Below are 19,684 nucleotides of genomic sequence, written 5' to 3'. Positions count from 1 at the left end.
AATGCCATTAATATGGCCACCGGACTCTCCAGCATAAATCCCCATCGGCACATCTAGGAGACCTTTTTTGACAAGGCATAAGACAGCCTCTGGTTGTCATCAGATTACAATCTACCTCTTTAGTGTCTCCTCGCTCTATTGTCTCACTAACCCCCTCTACTTGATACTCAAGAAAATAGCTCATATTGACTGAGTATGTTTCAAAAATATATCCTTACAATACCTTATCATTCTCATACTGCAAATGAAGAAACTGAAGCAGAGAGGTCAAATAATTAGCCCAGCATGTGCACCTAAGTGATGGAGCTGGTATTTGAACCTAGACCATTTGACTTTGGTATCTGGTCTCTTAACCGATGCTCTTTATTTCACATCCACAGTAATTTCTATTCTCTGACTATATCAAGATTTCTCACACCTTTGTATCTTTACAATTGTTTTTTTTCCTTTGCATGAGAACTTCCACTGTCTCCTCATTACTTTATCCACCAGATCAATTCTTTGACATCCTTTAAGGCGCATCTCCAAAGAAACCCGCGTGTCAATTTATCAGACCTTACCAGAAATATTTAGTAGTTTTTCTGTGTGCTTGCCTAGCATTTAAGACAATGTAAATATGACATGTCTTCCTCATTAGAAAATGTATTTTATATCTTAAATTTCTACCGTCAAGTGCAGTGCGTGACAACAGCTGGCTCCCAGTGAATGTCTATTGGATTTTTGGCTGCAGGGGGTGGAGGAGACAGGGCCATATGAACAGGACAACTTTTGGTCAGGAGGTCTTGAGATTGCTGATTGAGCTGAAATTGTCTGGACTCTTGAGATTTCCCATTCTAATTTGAGAAACATTGATCTATACAAGAATGAAGTTCATTGTAGTTATCTTAGGTTATCATTCATGGAGCTATTGTTGACAAAGAGTCATGAGACTTCACAGCAGTGTTAGAGCTGAGACCAGTTAATAGGTAAAGCCCTAGTTGCACAAAGAAGTAAACTGAGATTAGAAAGATTAAGTAACTTATCCACAATGACACTGCAAGTTAGTATCAGAGCTCTGCTTAAACCTGCATTTTCTGACTTCTAATCTATCCATAGTTCCTGGCTCTTTCCTATGAACATACAAATGCCAAAACGATTTTATGTGTTTATACACATATACATATACATATATCTTCACTGCTAATGAACTGATTCAATAAATGCATGTATTTGCCTCACATAAAGCCTGGATGTATTTGTGGGAATGATTAGAACTAATATGAATTCAGTGATTTATACATGAGATCGTCTCATTTACTTCTGAAATGTACAAAGAAATTCACAACTTCACTTTTCCCCCAGGAGAGGAAAAAAATCTATCCAGTCAACAGTTTTCCAACAAAAAAGGCAGTGCAAAGGAATCAAGTTTATTGAGTTCTGCTGACTTACTTTTCCCAGTTTTCAATGCTTCTATAACTACCATCATGATAGCATAAAAGCGCTAACATTTTTGTAATAATTGTCCTTTACCACAATTTCTGAAAAATGCTTTACATGCTTTATCACATTCAATATATAAAACAACCCTATGAGATAGATCACAATTACAATTTCCTATTTTATAGTTGGGGATACTAAAGCCCAATTTAATAAATGCCACAGGGTCATAGAACTTTAAAGTGGCAGAAGCCGCACTTGTATTTAAAATGAATCTGACACCAAAGCTTATGCTTGTAACCATGAATCCAGTCCATATGTCTTTAACAGTATATTTAATTTCCATCCAAAATGATGGAATCATAGAATTAAAGACCTAGAAATGATATTGGATGCCACCAGATCCCTATACGTCACTTAATAGAAACACAAAGTGAGGTTCTGGAAAATAGGTGAATCAACCTCTCCTGGACTTAGTGTGCTTACAATTTTTCCATATTTTTCTATATCACACAATAAAGTGCTTTGCATAGTGTACATACTTAATAAATATGGATGATTGACTCTCATGGATTCTTCCATAACTGTATACAGCCATATAAACACATGCATATGCATATATGTGTATCAATGTCTAGTCTGTGTGTTTCCAATAATACAGAAAGTTAGAATAACAGCCAGCTTGTCAAAACATAGCAAAAAGGACCACATTTTGGAAAGAATTACAGTATCATTACTGTTGACATGGGTAGAATAGATGAGTGTCCCCTAACTACTGCCTGTCAGGGCCTACTCCCATCTCAGCACTGAGTTTAAATAGTACTCAGCCAGCTGCCTGTGGATTTAGCCAACATTGCATGTCAATGCAAAAGTCTGATTGCCCAGATGGTTATTTCTAGGCCCACGATCAAAAATAGTAACTGAGCATGGCTGTAAGGCATATCACCCTGCACATAGGCTAGTGGTTTCTTGCTTTCTTCATATATCCTTCCTCTGTGCAGAATAGGCATGTTGATGTTAGCTATTTTAACAACTCTCACTAGGAACAAAAAGAGAGAAACAGAAGGATTTGGGCAGCAATCCTCTAAATCTGTGAAAATCTCTGTATTACTCTGCCCCTCATATCTTCAACTGCATTCTTTCTTTCCTCACTGTTATTATTGGATATAGAGTATCCACTCTGTGAACTTCCTTGAGCATGTATTTTCCCCCTTTATGTATCCCCTCTATCATCTCCAGCACAGTAGTTTTGCACTTGAAAAGCAAAATAGAGAAATGTAACAGACACAAAGCAAACAGACAAAACAAAAAAACTTCAAATGCTCTGAGGGAAAAAAATGGAAGAAGTTCCAATTTTAAAGTTTGACTAGCCCTTTGCCTGCCCCAAGGTAAGAAAATGCTAGCGCAATGCGGAAAATCAGATCTGTGATGCAGTGCTTTTGAACAATTCAACTTGTGACAAGAAACAGAACAACCCTCAAAATTTCATCAGAGCAAGTTTGATTAACAATTCTGAATCCCTAAATGGTGAATTAGGAACTCTCTCTGAGGCAAAAAGTGGGGAGGCTGTAAAGATCTGGAATACCATCTTTGCCCTGACATGCCTTGGGTTTATAGGGAGCCACTCCTGGTTACATATTTGGAAAGAGATCACTTCATTGCCTTGGAGGGGAGCCTCTCTTCTTATAAATTACATTAATTCAGACCTTCATCGGTCCTTCCTGGTTCTATTTCAGTAAACAAACATAGGAATAAATTGTTCTGAGCTTGCTTTGTTTATTCTAGTTCTTTCCTCCACCAGCTCCCTTTTCTGATCTTTCTATTCCCCTAGGCAGAGAATCTTTACAGGGGAAAATTGCTCATTTCAATGTTAGCATTTTTTCTTACACTGGAATAACGTGGCTCAGCTACTCTGACCTTGAAGTGCAATCCCCCTCTCCCCCACTATAAGAAATCATCAGGGGCTGTAAGGTGAACAGCACCACGTTTCCATTTCTTTGCAATCCATATTTACATGGTGAAGGTTATGCTGGTTCCAAAGGAAAAAGGACAGCCCATCATCCTAAAAGAATGACAGATAAGGATTAGGGTTAATACTGGCAAACATTTAGAAACTGAAAGAAAGACTGCATTCATGACAGAAATAAAAGGGGCCATTCTTTGGCAAAACATAAAACAGCATCTGTTGAAACAACTCAAGTTCTGAGCTGCTTTGCATGGCATCCTTTGTTGCCCAAGGATGGCAGCTTCTCTCAGGCCTTTGAGGACATGAAATGATGACAGATACGGGTCCTGTGCCAAGAAGCAAGAAAAAAAATCACATTTTGATGTGCAACTACTTGATTCTTAGCCATCTAAAAATACAGAGAGGAAGCTGTCAATTGCATGTAATGAACTGCTCTGGTAGCACTGGGTGATTAATTTCCAGCTTTACCCTGCTCTATCATGTACTGTGGAGAGCACATTACCAGAGCTTTTTGGCTTCAAGGGAAAGATCAACCCCATGTGTGTAATCTACTCCAGGTGTACCAAAGTGGGCTCTTTGCCCTTTTCCTTTGGCTCAGTACTCTATCCCACTGACATTCTGGTGTGATGCATTGGCTTTTTCTTTGTGCAATGTTCATAATAACAAAGTCCAGAAAATTCCCATTTGATTCACATATTTATAGCAACAACTCGTTTTTGTCAGTATTTTTAACATCATACTTTTTAGCTGTAAAATGGGGAAAACAAAAACACAATCTTGGTCATGCTTTAAACCACAGAACTAAATGCTGAGGTCACCTACCACTTGTAGATTATTAACAAAGCTTTTAATACACACAACTGATTGTAGGTATTATTAGAAACAGAGAGGATGAATGTTTTAAACCACCAAGGTCATTCTCATTTGTATAGTGTAAAAAATAGAAAACATCAAATACATACACTCTTCGCTATTTCATATTTATTCCCAAAACATTTCAGATATATCTGATTAAAGGACTGGTAACTTTTCTTTCTCCACATATGAGGTAGCTAATAGATACCAGCCTTGTTGAGGAAAAATGGACTTTGTTTTACTGCAAGTAGATTTTATGACTTTTTCTTTTGATGTCTAAATCATGAAACATGCCAGAGGCACTTTGTTGTCTGTTTATAGTACCTATGTACACTCTTAATGAGTTGCCAATTTTTACTTCCTTTAAGAAACCCTAATGGTAAAACATTTATCTACATATTGAAAAATTCATTTAAGCATGTTCTGTGCTTCCAATGAGGCACCGTCTAATGGTCTTTTTAATTAAATGTTGGTTCCAAGGATTTCTCTGTTGTTTAAGGCTGTAGTTCAGCTTGTTCATCATGGATTGCAGGTTGGGAGACATGAGATTTAATTCAAACCATTATTTTTAAGGGAGGATTTGGCTTAAGTTGTTTTAAAGATAACTCAAAAGCGGTATACGTACTTAACCCTGAGAACTTACTGATGACAATCTTAATTTTAATTTTGTTTTGGCCTCTCTGTTATAATACCAGAGGTGGAAAGACTTACTAAGTAAGAAAATCTTTGCCAACAAGTTGCCTTTATGAAAGAAGTTTATTTTTGTTAATTGACCAGAGGCAGCAGTTGGGTAACAAGTTGCAGCAGCTGATGCACTGCACACCTATAGGTTGGTAGGGTCACGGGATCTCAGTTCTATGACACTATGAGGTGGTGTTACCCAATTTGAGGCTCAGCTATTCTCAAGAATAGTTGAATGTTGTTACTAAAGTGGAAATTATTGGTAGTGGGCGAGGACAATGTTGAGACAATGTTAGGCTGGAGTGAAATTTGTAAAAGAAAGCCACAGAATCGATTCAAACCCAAATCTAGTCTCCGGAGTATGCGGGAAGACATGGGTACCTGCAGCGTAAACTCCATTCTCAAATGCCTTCTTACCTTAATATACTTGGAAGCCTCTATAGCTGCACCTGGGGTTAAAGAAGCAATATTGCCTACCTGAGTGAAGCATGTCCCTTCTCTTCTTTTGTGAGCTTTCTCCATTACTGAAGGGAAAAACAAACAAAAAGTATTACCTACTTTCTTTCCCTTACTGCTAAGAAAGAATCTGGTCTTTGATTAGGCAAATCTGTTTCCCTACTCAAGAAGAAACAATAAAAGTCCTTTGTTGCAGTATCCAGTGGACCCTAAGTTGACTTTGTATCAGGGCCCATTTTTACTAATTAATCACCTGCACTGCAGATCCTTAAAAGTGAAAGTTCTATTAGTTGGTTAAGGATGTCTTTCCTGCCTCCTTCCAGAAGCTATACATAAATGTTCAAGACAATTTTTATTGTCACACTCTCCAAGGATTACAATAGATGGTCACTTTAGGCATGGTTTCCAGAAACTCCCCTTTCTGCATGAGCTAAAATATTAAATGTATAAAAACAATTATGTGGGAAATGCTGTATTTCAATGCTTAGATTTACTCATATTAAAACTAAAAGATCATTGGGTTGGAAAGTGAAGAAAACCATCTTGGTCCTGGGTGAGACTGTGTCAGAACCTGGAACAATCTTCTCAGAGGCTCATCAACAGAATAAAAACATGTAAAACATCTATCTTTTTTGTTTCTTTGTTTCTTTAGCCTACGGGATGACTACTGAAAAGTTCCCCCCAATATGTTCCACTTTATATAAGAAATTGTTTTCAATATAAAAAAGATTTACTGAAACATTAATAACATTTTAGAGAAAAGGAAAAATAAAGAGTAATTATGTAAACAGTAGAGCCAACAAGAGGCAGGAAAGCATCTCTAAAAACCCAGCAAGACCCTTAGGCTAAATTAAATAGTACTAATATTTATTGAATGTTTTGTGCCATGTACTTTACATATTCAATCTCAATTAGCATTCTTAACAATCCTGTGAGGTAGATATTATTATTCTAAATTTTAGAGATAAGGGTCTGGGACTCAAAGAGTATAGGAAACTAACCTCAGCAGTTGTTCAATGGCAGAAGGTGAAATCAAGCTCAAGTCTTCCTAATTCCAGAATTCACATTCTCCTCCCTCTACCGTTTGGGCTCCTGGGCAACAGAACTGAGTAAGCAAATGCTCTGTGCAACTATTCCACAAAATTCTTTTTCTATGACTTGGGATTATTTAAGGGTCAGGTCCCATCAAATATCAATGTGTGGAAAGCCATGGGCAAAGCTAATCTCAGATTCTGTACTTACAAATACTCAAGTTCAGGAGACTAGTATGTTGCAGGGTTAAAACCGGGATCCAGGTTTACCTTCATCTCTAACCCTCTTCTCCCTCAGGATGAAGGCTCAGATCAGTTTCATCTATATGCTATGCCTGCCTGACCTGGAGAACTTGGTGTTAAAGGAAATGTGTTTATCAAATGTGTCATGTTATCCTTGGAGGGCAACTGAGGATCAGAGCACAGCTGCCTTGAATTGTTCCATCGAGTTATTCCACTGCAGTTAAGTGGAACATCAAAAAACGTCAAGAAGCCTAAAACATGGAAACTTGTTTAATTTTCTCAAACAATGGCACTAACCAAAGCAAACGAAACTTTGACAAGAAAGAAGCAATTGTTTAGCCTTGTCATGTCCTCACAGTTAATAATACAAAGGGTATATTCACAGTGCAAAGATACTTTCCCTTTCTCTCAAAATAGAAGACAACGTATTGTAAGATATTTTACAGATGTCCTTCCTCATAGAACTCTGTAAACTTTACTAGCTCAAGAACAAAATCAAAGTTTCAATTCACGGGACTGATTCATCTTGCATTTTAGGTATTCTAATGGTATATTTGTACTGTGTGTTGCAACCTATAGAATAAATGTACTTCTTCTTCATGTTTCCTGTTTGCTGATGACAGATACCAGTGGCTCACCTTTCGGCCTATGAAACAATGATTTCTTTTCAAATTTGAAATCTGAATAACTATGCACCACAATAGCTGCCTTTGACCCAGAATTTTTCTCTAGTCATTATCTTCCAAAGAATTTTTCTGCAGTTCGTTATCCTCTAAGTTCTGAATCTTATCCAAAACCTGTTACAACTTAAACTTCTGGCTCCCACTCTTAAGGACTTGCTGTTTCATCAGATCTTCCTTCTCCATTTTTCCATCAGTGAAACCTAAAATAAATTCAAAATCATAAGAATGTAAGAGCAAACCTAATGTTCTGTATCATGGCATAATTTTACTTAGAGAAACCAAAATATCTGAAGGTGAGTTGTTCAAATCTTAAGTGACAACAGTTAACTTACTATGAGCAATAGAAAAAAAATTTAAATATTAGAACAAGTGCTACAAAAGAATGGACATTTTGGGACAGAAACTTTCTGTATTGGTAAATCTGCCACCCTTCTGAATAATAAATGATTTGATTTTACTTCCACAAGAATCACTATTGTGCTCCTCTTTGGCGACTTTTGGGGAATTGTTACAGTTTTGGTTAGAGTGGAAAGCACTTATACATAAATGAATTCTTTGATTAATAAAAGTATTTTATAATTTTATATGTATGCTTACCTGAGATGTTACATTACAAAACATCATTACTGGCTGGGCGCAGTGGCTCATGCCTGTAATCGCAGCACTTTGGGAGGCCAAAGCAGTCAGATCACCTGAGGTCGAGAGTTTGAGACCAGCCTGACCAACATGGAGAAACCCCATCTCTACTAAAAATACAAAATTAGCCAGGCGTGGTGGCACATGCCCGTAATTCCAGCTACTCGGGAGGCTGAGGCAGAAGAATCACTTGAACCTGGGAGGCAGAGGTTGTGGTGAGCTGAGATCGCACCATTGCACTCCAGCCTGGGCAACAAGAGTGAAACTCCGCCTCAAAAAAAAAAAAAAAAAATCATTACTTCATAATAAAGTTTCAAAATAAGCAGAAGTATGTATTTGCCTCACTTTGACAGGTCTCATTAGTTCAGGGACTCCTTTTTATATTAACTTTCAGATATGATTCCTTGTCAGGATAGAATGTTTGTGTAAAAATCTAACTCCAAAACTCAAGTAGAAATACTATTTTTACAAACTATACTCCACATCAAGATATATGTATTGTGTCCCAATGCATGGTAGAGTTCCTTATTACTTTTGACTATGTTTATACATGTGAAATCCACCCCACCATTGCCTCTTTCTTCATTCTGACCATCCTAACCCTAACCATCGGTGTGTTCTGCTGTGTGATTGATTTGGCTTCCATAATTGATTGTTATTGATTGGCCAGAATGAATGGCTCAAGCTCACATTGTGTTCCAACTCATCAACAGAGTATAGTTAACATCTACTTTGGAGCACAATTTGACTTAATTATTAAATATTGCATTTTAGCAATTGGCCGGAAAGGGGTTTATTTCTACAAGCTCAAATCTACTGCTAATTTTAAAGAAAAACTTCAGACTATAGAAACTTCAGATCCATGTCTAAACACAGCAAATAAGCCAGTCATGGTGCCTCATGCCTATAATTCCAGCACTTTAGGAGGCTGAGGCAGGTGGACCACTTGAGCTTGGGAGTTCGAGACCACCCTGGGCAACATAGTGAAACCTCATCTCTACCAAAAATACAAAAAATTAGCCAGGTGTGGTGGCATGTATCTGTAGTCCCAGCTAGTCAAGAGCCTGAGGTAGGAGGATCACTTGAGCCCGGGGGGTCCAGGCTGCAGTGAGCCGAGAGATCACGCCACTGCACTCCAGCCTGGGTGAGAGAATGAGATCTTGTCTCAAAAACAAAAGCAGAAGTAATAACAACAACAACAACAACAAAAAGGAATAAATGCACCTGATCAAAAAAAGGAGAAAAAAAGAAAAAGTTATTAATTTAAAATGCATTTATTTACCCTACTTTGTTATAGTTTGCTCTATGTTAATGTATATATATTTTAAGTCATTCTTTAGCATTCACCATCTTTACGAACATACTTTTGAAAATGGGTAACAAACTCTCTTAAAACTGCTAATGGAAGATGCCAAAGAAGAAGAGGACTCCTTGCCTCCAAACGTGGGAGAAGGCCTTAGAGTCTCCTTCGGTAACTGAGAAGCAGAATACTCCCATTGTATGAGGTTGCTTGGCAGTTGCAGCTGTCACTCAGACTTCTTATCCACACCAAGCACTTCCAAATACAGGAAAGAAATTAGACTTTGTTTCTCTACCCTATTTGGATAATAATTAAATGTTTCAACTAGAAACCTCTTCACTCTGGCATCTGAAGCATCATCTTAGTGTCAACTTCTCTTGAAAAGGGCACACACACATACACATGCATGTACTCATACTTGCTATTTTCTTTGCCAAAATGTTTACTATGTTATGGGAAAAAACTTTTTCTCTTTTCTTGAAATAAAATTAATTTCTTTTGTTTGTGCTTTCCTTCAAAATGTCAATTTGAACATTTTTCACTACTCTTCTGAAACAATTATTCTCTTTAAATCACAATTTTTACTAAAAAGCCTCTTTGCTTGAGAGATTTGGACACTAAAAGGGAAAATAATTACTTCAAAAGCTACGTGTAAATAGAAGACGATTTGTAAGCATCCCACGTGAAATTAAAAGCCCCCATGCCTATCAGACCTTGGGAAAACTAAAGGACCTTCACACCCCATAATAGAACTTAGAAACAGTAAGTGCCTCTTACTACTTTTGAGCCTGCATTTCAGCCACAATAAAGTCAACTAGTCAAACGAGTATTAACAACACATTTAAAAGCATTGCAAAAATTATAAATATCTACTATTTCGTTGGCTATTCCAACCTAGACACTATTTTCAAAATTGTGAAAGAGTAGTGTTGCCATTACTAATTTGATCAATATACCCACCTCTGCAGATTATTAAAAATAAAAAAAAAATGAGTCCAGGTAGACTGGTTAATAGGAAAGTATTAAACTGTTAATTACAGGACAATACATAAGAAACATTGTGTTTTTATTAAGCCAAACATAGATGCTTATAGTTACATATACATCTAACACTTTCTGTCTGTCTCAATTTATCTGATGCTCAAATCACCTTGTGTGCACTGTACACCATATTGTAGCTTCTCAAGTGTTGGAGTACTTGAGACTGTCATGTGCTTTCATTTAAATTTTTTAAAATTCATGGACATTTAATATATATAAAATATACCAATGCTAGGCAGGAGTCACCTGGTATTTGAAAATCATAATCAACCAGGCACAGTGGCTCACATCTGTAATCCCAGCACTTTGGGAGGTCAAGGTGGGCAGCACTTTGGGAGGTCGAGGTGGGCAGGTCACCTGAAATAAGGAGTTCGATACCGTCTGGCCAACATGATGATACCCCGTCTCTACCAAAAATACACAAATTAGCCAGGCGTGGTGGCATGTGCCTGTAATCCCAGCTACTCAGGAGGCTGAGGCAGGAGAATCACTTGAATCCAGGAGGCGGAGGTTGGCAGTGAGCCAAGATCACGCCACTGCACTCCAGCCTGGGCAACAAGAGCAAAACTTTGTCTCAAAAAAAAAAAAAAAAAGCGAAAATCATAATCAATACGTTGAAATGCTGAAGCTCAAATTCAGAGAATAGTAGATGAAAACAAGCTAAAACATATAGCATAACAAAAGATTAACTTGGCAGTGGATTTACCCTATACCAGTGGTTCTCAAAGCACGGCCAGAGAACCACAGGGTTTCCTAAGACTCTTTAAAGGTTTCAAAAGATCCAAACTATTTTTATAATAAACCAAGATGCTAATTTCTCTGTTTCACTCTCATTCTCTCACAAGTGTACAACAGAGTTTTCCAGAGTTTAATGTGTAAGATTATAACAGAATGTTTAGAGAAACAAACCTAAGAATCTAGCTTTCTATTAAGCCACACAATAAAGAAATTCATACAAATTTAAAACAATGCTGTATTAGTACCTTTTGTGTTGCTTATAGCAGAATACCTAAAAACTTATTTTAAAGGAAGTTTATTTAGCTCATGGTTCCACAGACTGAGAAATTCGAGGGCATGGCCCTGGCTTCTGGACAGGACTTTCATGCCACATCACAACATGGTGGAGAAGGGCAATGGGAAAGTAGACATGTGTGAAGAGGAGAAAACCGAAGGGCATCCTGGCTTTATAACAACCCACTACCACAGGAACTAATTCATTTACATGAGAACTAAATCAATCTTTCAAGATTGAGAACTCAGCCAGGCGTGGTGGTGTATGCCTGTAATCCGAGCTACTCAGAGGGGGATGAACTGGAAGGATCCTTTGAGCCCAGGAGTTCAAGGTTGCAGTGAGCTATGATTGTACCCCCATGCTCCAGCATGGATGAGAGAGTGAGACCCTGTGTTTAAAAAAAAAAAATGGAGTGAGAACGCACTACTACCAGAACAGCACAGAACCATTAACGGGGAATCCACCTTCATAACCCAAATACCTCCCACTAGGCCCACTTCCCAACACTGGCACATTGAGGATCAAATTTCAACATGAGTTTTGGTGGGGACAAACAAATTTTATCCAAACCATAGCAAATGTCGCTCATTTTTTTGTTGTTTTGAAAAAGTTATTTCTTATTAAAATATGCCATTTGTGTCAAGATGCAATGGGATTATTACTGTCACTTTAGAGTGAATTAGTAATTAAATACTTTAAAAATTTTCTATTTTAATTTCTAATATAAATATTGAGAGCTATGACCCACATTAACAAAAGCTTTCTTTTTTGGCGGGGGGTGGGGGGTTATTCTCAAAAATTTCCTAGCATGTAAAGAAATCCTGAGACCAAAACATTTGAGAGTGTTATTTTATAGCATTGGAATCTCAATTTATTTCTAAAGCCTCAGTTACTAGTGCTACCAGAATAAACATTAGAGTGGCACTTCTTATAAAATTCTCCCAAATTACAATTTGGAAAGATTAGATCCATATTTCTTGTATTGATTATCAACAAAATACAGTGAACAGAGTAATTTTAAATATAGGATTTAATATGATTAATTCCACCTGGTCCATTCCTGGACAGCCACTCTTCCTGAGGACCTAGCTTTGCCATTCAATGCCATTCTGCTAGGAGGCATATTGCTTGGTGTATATTACGTGCCCAAAAAGTGTTTACTGACCATTTGTTTTAAACCTGCTTCCTCATTAAAGTCTATTTGACTAAATTACTAAGTTTATTCCTTGTTTTGACTTCATAATTATCATGATGGTCAGCAAATCAAGGTTAACAGGCATTGGTGTAGTGGTCAACCTAGTACCCCCCAGAACTATCCTGGTTAAGCTTAAATCCTTACTCTAACACTTGCTCTTGTGTGAATGTGAACAAGTGCTTAAACTTCTCTGCACCTAAATTACCTCATCTGAAAATTATGAATACAAATAATACCTTCTAACGACTTTGTTATGCAGATTAAATAAACTAACACTTGTAAAAAAAACTGAAAACTGAGCTTAATAAATAATAAATGCTATATAAGGATCACTAAGTAAAATATCACCTAACTTCAACTGCTGCTCAGAACAAGTGCATGGATAAATGTGATTTGGTTATCAGAGAAGCTTCCCAGAGTTTTGATATTTAAATAGATTCAGATGCCTGAACTCTTAATTCCCACTGCTAAAAGTTAAGAGTAGCAGGTTAAACATGAGCAGCAACCATAAACACACTGAAATACTGAAAGGAGAAAGGCCATAAAGCCTCACAATGTGGACACAAAATCTTATTAGATGCACCATAGAGAAACCCAAACATATTCAACTAACAAAAATGAAATTAAACAATCAATTTCAGCAAGAAAATAGAAAGTTGGGCCAAGTCTTATACCTGAGTTTATTTTTAATTGATATGAATGACAGCATAGTTTTTAAATTATCACCTTAGTAGTGTCTTTACAATTCTAGCTACTCTTTAGAAAGTGTCCAAAAATAATGAACACATAGAATCATGTAATGCAGCCTAGCTAAAAGCAAAGAAAGAATTAGACACTTTCTAGAACACTCACCCCTTGGCTTCTGCAATTTCATGTGGGTTGATTTTCCAACTTATATTTTCCAACAAGATGAAATCCCTCTTCTACTTGCCAGACTCTAAGTCCCAAAGACGCAGACATATGCAGAATGGATGGACCGTCCTCACCAACATTGGAGTGTGCTCAATTTCCTGCAGTTTCATTGTCATCGTGCCAAATATCCCAGCCTCTGAGCTTGTTTATGATGAATGACAATGAATAACTTCCAATTTTCTTTATAGCTTTGTTTTGTTCTTTTCCTTTAAGCTTATCTGAATTCAAATAACTAAATAGGATGAAACATGTTACCAGAAAAGTTTTGTTTAATGAGCTCTGATACCACATCTCTTCATCTATTCACATTTCACTCAAATGGAATAAGATCCAGAAAATATAAGTTAAAAGACATAATTGAAAAAAAAACAGAAATGGGAATTTCTCTTGAAATGGATTACGGACTAAAACTTGCTAGAACTTTGTCACAGAAACATATTCTAGCAATGGGATGGAAAATCCTCTGGTCTGTTCCATCTCAAATGGTCACACTAGAAGGAAAGGTGCATCTATTCCACAGAGCTCACTGTTGAAGAAGCTAATTTAACTTCACGATAATATTCATCTGATGTTATCAGTAGGAAGCAACATATTGGTCTTTAGATAAATAAAATACAATAATAAATAAAGAGCTAAACATTGTTCTTCAGATGTAGTTCTTTAAAGCAATGAATTTTAAAAATCTGAAATGGAAATACAAATATTGAAGTACCTGCAAACTTAGAAAAAAAATCAAGCTTTGAGATTTGCAAACAAAATGCTTGAAATGAATTATGAAGTCCCAACATGTAGCTTTTCCCTGTGGATGTTTAGGCAGGAAAATTCCAAGTAAGGAAAGTCCATTTCTGTGATAACCATCAAATGTCTTTCGGCTTATCTTATTTATGACCAGAGGCCTTGCCATTCAACACTGAGTGTCATTCTATTTAGGGTTCCACAGTGGTGAGCTGCCATGCTTGGGGAGACGCAGCCCATAATAGCTGCTGGAGCAATAAAGGGACATCTTATGGAGAAGTTTCTCATCCCTTAGCTCTGGTACTGTTGCCCGCACAGCATCTGTCTCCTCCTTAGTCTTGTTACCACACTGAAATTGCTTTGCTTTGTTTCCATGCCAAACTGGAAAAGCTCTCAATCATTTCTCCTGCCATGTCTATAGGAAAATAGAAGCAGGCCAATCATGCCATTATGACATTGCATGACAGGCAAGGTCCATTTTACAAAGCAGTACCATAAAATGAAAAGCTTTGAACCCCCTTCCGCCTCTTACTCTTATCCTTAAAGCCAAACTAAAGTAAACCTGCAGCATTTCTGCATTTTACTCACTTTTATCAATATTATGGAAAACAGGCTTCAACACCAAATATGACCAAAGATGAAAGAAAGCTATCATTTATTGAGGGGAAAAGAAAAACTGTTTAAGTTAACAGTGATGGGCAAATTAAAGAGAATTTATTTAGCTATAGAATAATTAACCAAAATGTCTTATTAAATATCTGAAATAAAAATACTGAGGGCCGGCCGAGCACAGTGGCCCACGCCTGTAATCCCGGCACTTTGGGAGGCTGAGGCGGGCCGGATCACCTGAGGTCAGGTATCGATACCAGCCGGGCCAACATGGTGAAAGCCCGTCTCTACTAAAAATACAAAAATTAGTCGGGTGTGGTGGCGGGCGCCTATAATCCCAGCTACTCTACTCGGGAGGCTGAGGCAGAAGAATCGCTCGAACCCGGGAGGCAGAAGTTGCAGTGAGCCGAGGTCGTGCCACCACACTCCAGCATGGGCAAAAAGAGTGAGACTCCGTCTCAAAAACAAACAAACAAACAAAAAACAAACAAACAAATAAACAAAAACACTGAGGGCATGGATATGAACTAACCAAGAAAATTATAAAAAGAGTAGAAATGTTCTCATATTTCAGTTTAGCAGCAGGTTCGCATTCCCTTGTTAAAGAAGCATTTGCACTTCTGGGCTTGTGAATTAAGTGTGGAGAGGCCAGGATCTGCAGCTGAACATTTCTGGATTGGGCAGCTATATAGGAAAAAAAAGATTTCCTTCAAGCTCAACAATTTCTGTCCTCTGAATAGGGCAAATGTGTCTGAGCACATTCAAAATGTCCCTTTGCCTTAAAATGTGAGAAAATCACATTGTAATAGCAGAGAGAGGAATCTGGAGCATATTCACACATGGAATAATATCATTTGCTGACGTCAAGGTCGTGTCTAAGAGCCTACTACTTAGAATACTTGGAAGAGAACAAGTAGAAAGGTAAAGATTATCCAATGGAAAGGATGTTCCTCAAACTCTTTATGTATTCATTTCTCTTCTTGGGGAAGGAAAAATCAGTAATTTATTACGAATGCAGCATTCTCAGAGGTTTCTCCAGTTTTCTGAAGAAACAGAAATTTTCCAAAGCACTGCAGTTTATTTAAATTCTATTAAATGTCTGGTAAAATCATGAATAATATAAATATAAATAATATGCATGTGCAATAATATCTATATAATGTATCAAGAAAAAAGATTTGTGAGTATTTTCAAAGAAGTCAGGATGGTAACTTAAATTTCGAATATTGTATGTGGGAAGATATAACCAGGTGGACATACACTTTAATTAGCTAATAATATCTGTGAAAAAATTACTAGTTGATAAAATGGAGATTTGTTTTTATTGAACGTATAATAGTCAATTTAATATATAAACAGTGTAAATTGTGTAATAATACAAAAGCCTCTATTTTATACTTTCTCAATTTTTCACAACTGTACTAACACATGATAAGAAAAAATTACGCTTTTCACTTTACCAGTAAAGAAACTGAATATCCAAGAAAATAAAGTAACTTATTTAGAGTAACAGAAGTCGTAAATCACCAAATCAAGAGGAACATTTGGGACTTTAGCTTCCATTTAGAAGCTCTGCTAAATTATACCTTTTGATGTTGCTTCCCTATGTTAAATTTAAAAGATGTTTTGATCACTTAAGACAATAGTTTGTATGTATATATCTAAGTATTTATATATTCATACATAAAATTTACATATATTTATATACATAAGTGTATATACGATAGTTTGTAAGTATATAAGTATTTTTATATATAACTGTAGATTTATAGGTAATGTATTTTTTACATAGTACTATCGATTTATATACAATTTATATTATATATATATATATAAATCCTAATGGAATAAGTCACGTGTTGTTTTCTATTGGTCATATGTTAGCACAAGAATAAAACTCTACAAGGGAAAAATAGGAACACAAACTGAACCTTCAAATATAAGGAAACTTTATTACGCAGATTTTTTTGGCGCTCCTGAGATGTCTGCAGTGTTAATACCCTCCAGGTCAGGTATATTTAATGGCCGTTGGGATCAAGTGCCCTTAGTCTTGCCTGAGGCCCTCAGTTCTTCACCCAGACATTAACTGACAGAGACTGAGCAGCTCAGAAAACACTTTTACATGATAGAAGTGCTCAGTCAATAGAAGCTTCTCTACTAATGGATATACAGCACATTAGTGAGATATCCACCTACAGTTTTAATGACCTGAATCCAATCTTCTCACACTGTAAACCTATTTGAACTCTGAAAATAAACATGGGGTCAGATTTTGTTGCATGTATCAACACCAAACTTTGATTTAACAAAATCGTATTGAATAGCTACTTAGTTCTCTATATAAGGCTATATGAGGACACATAGAATGAGAATGTTTATATTTTGTTGTTCTGTAGAATGTATATCTTACCTTCTGTTATTTTCTCCAGAAACGTTTCTATCTTGGATAAAAAAGAAGGGACATAAAGTGTAAATAATATTTCTAAAGTAGCTTTTAACTCTATTTGTTTATATCAATTTCATCATCCCAACTTAGTGTATAACAATCTTAATATCATACTGTAAATTCTCCCCGGGGCCTGAAAGCTTAAGGAGATGAATAACTCCTCCCTTCTCAGGCCCAGTCCCAAGGCGCAACTTGTGCCAGCAGCCCGCGCCAGCAGCCTGCACCAGCAAAATAGCAGTAGCAAGAAGAGAGCCAGCAGAAGACACCTACCCTGGCCGGAAGACGCGTACCCCTGAAGATTGAGGAAGAGGCCATCCGGGTACAACGTAGCAGTTACGTCAGACTAAGACACTTCCTGTTTATAGGAGACTATAAAACCTTTGCCCTGTCCTCACTAGGGGCTGACACCATTTTAGTCCTCAGACCGCCTGCACCCAGGCGCTCATTAAAACAGCATGTTGCTTCCACCGCCTCATGTTGTCTGTTGGCGCGCTCTCGGGGTTCGAACCAGTACAAGAACCTTAGATATATGATACTGCACCTAATAAAAATAGTCTAAAATAACAACAGCCAATATAGGCACAAACCTGAAAGTGTCTGCATAGAAGTAACACATCCATGTACTTGATAAACTAAAGTGTAGATATTTTATGCGGAATAAACTTTGAAGTGAGGAATACCACTTGAATGTCAGCCTGTTCTTTGTGAGAAAACAATTATCCCTTCTCTTCAAAGAGTCAGGAAGGATTTACTAACAAAATAGTATACCAAGGACTGTGTGAACAGTGAAATTCAGAGGACGTGAGACCGTGGTCCTGGGAATAAATTGAAATGCATGCAATTTTGAGCAGATTTGAGAACGGTGTCCTCATTTCTTGTATATCCCCACATGACTGGTTGCACCAGCTGTACCATTTCTGTCACTGGTTTACTCATCTCCCTTTACACTATCTTGCTCCATGCTTTGCAGTGCCTGAGGCTGAAGCTCATGACTGATCATGTGCCTCTATTCCCTAGGAGTTTTACCAATGAATGCCATCTCTCCTGTTTTAAAGATGTGCAAGTAAAATCAACCAACGTAACACCTGAAGACAATAGATTCTCTAAAATGAATCTTTTAAAACAAGAGAAGTGATGTGAAGATGGAATGAGGAACGGATGGAGGCACTGTGCTCTGATCCTGTATTTTTATGTATAGAGCAAAGCTACACTGGTTGCTCAACCTAATTTCAAGGTAATGTTGCTTGCAGCTTGCTGAATTCAGCAAAACCAAATAAATAGAAACCTTTTCCTGACCCATAGGGAAAGAAACGGCACCACTGACTACATTCTCAGTGTTAATTATTTTCCACATATATTTATCTTTAATCCCTTGGTATCTGTTACTGCATATCCTCCAGGAAACATTGGTGTTAGTAAAATTCACAGAGATCTTATAAAAATAACAATAGCAAACCCTCATAATATTAATTCTAACATTTGTTGAGAACTTTCTCTTTTCCATGCTCTACATGCATTAGCTCATCTAGAACACTCATAATTATTGAACATATATAGAAAATATAAATACATTTATCTTCATTATATCAGTGAGAAAAGCTGAAGTTTAATGACTACAGTAGTTAAAGTAACACTAGCTGCTAGAACAGATAAGCCCCGAAATCTGAGCAGCTAAAATATACATTTATTTATTTTTCTTACACATAACTGTTCGATGAGAGTGCTGAGTGGATGGTCTGCCATGTAATGATTCAAGACTCAAGCTCTTTATTGTCATAGCTCCATTATCTTTAGCACTTGGCTTCCAAGGTCACTGTGGAAGAGGAAGAAAGAGGAAAGGAGGCACACTTACTTCTTAATCATGTGAACCAAGAAATAACACACTTTATTCCTGCTCACCTTCCATTAGTGAGAGCTGGTCACATAGCTCCCTAGAGATGCAAAGATGATTAGGAAATTGAGTCCATGACTGGGAAGCCTGTGCTTAGCAACATCTCCACACAATGGGTGATGATACAAATTTTGATGAACAGTTGGCCATTTCTGCCAGAGAGAGAATGAGCTACTTTCCTAACAGCCCCCTTTAGTAAGCAGTAAAATTGGAATTTGAACTCACCTCTGAATCCAGATTTGAGCTCCTACTCAGAATGCCACGCTTCTGAAAAGACCGCTCATGGTTCATGGGCTCCTCTACTGCCCTGCACATAAGCCTTTGTGATTGTGACTGTGTATAGTATAGTGAAACTACAATGTATATTTCATGGCATTCTACAAAGAGCCTCATTACTTTCTAAAATTCTGCCACCAAGAAGTTCTGGAGAACTTGGCCAGGTGCCATGGCTCATGCCTGTAATCCCAGCACTTTGGGAGGCCAAGGCGGGTGGATCACAAGGTCAGGAGATCGAGACCATCCTGGCTAACATGGTGAAACTCCGTCTCTACTAAAAATACAAAAAATTAGCCAGGC

At 37.3% G+C, this 19,684-nt stretch overlaps 2 long non-coding RNA genes across 6 annotated transcripts in view; one reads left to right on the top strand and one right to left on the bottom strand.

Annotated features, from left to right (window-relative positions):
• Positions 1-17,898, top strand: part of LINC03005 (long intergenic non-protein coding RNA 3005) — a 74,415-nt gene extending 56,517 nt beyond the window's left edge. The window contains exon 3 of one of the 2 annotated variants that reach the window (NR_134614.1): positions 17,390-17,898. This is a non-coding gene — a long non-coding RNA (long intergenic non-protein coding RNA 3005). Of the gene's footprint in view, positions 1-6,703; positions 7,249-17,389 lie in introns of those variants that run through there. The other variant, NR_134613.1, reaches the window with a different exon arrangement.
• Positions 1,386-17,388, bottom strand: LOC105374973 (uncharacterized). Of its 4 annotated transcripts, none has more exons than XR_007059497.1 (5): positions 17,182-17,388; positions 13,368-14,577; positions 6,376-7,531; positions 5,396-5,442; positions 1,386-3,478 (listed from the first exon to the last, which is right to left on the bottom strand). It is a non-coding gene; the product is annotated as an uncharacterized LOC105374973 (long non-coding RNA). The 4 variants fall into 4 exon arrangements; XR_001744026.2 differs by having other exon boundaries at positions 1,386-5,442; positions 6,376-6,466; positions 7,287-7,531; XR_007059495.1 differs by having other exon boundaries at positions 1,386-5,442.
• Positions 17,899-19,684: the final 1,786 nt, after the last annotated feature.

This window comes from Homo sapiens, chromosome 6 (genome assembly GCF_000001405.40).
Source record: "Homo sapiens chromosome 6, GRCh38.p14 Primary Assembly".
Lineage (NCBI taxonomy): Eukaryota > Metazoa > Chordata > Mammalia > Primates > Hominidae > Homo > Homo sapiens.
Note: the sequence above shows the minus strand (reverse complement) of the source record. Positions and strands in the feature narration are given on the sequence as shown.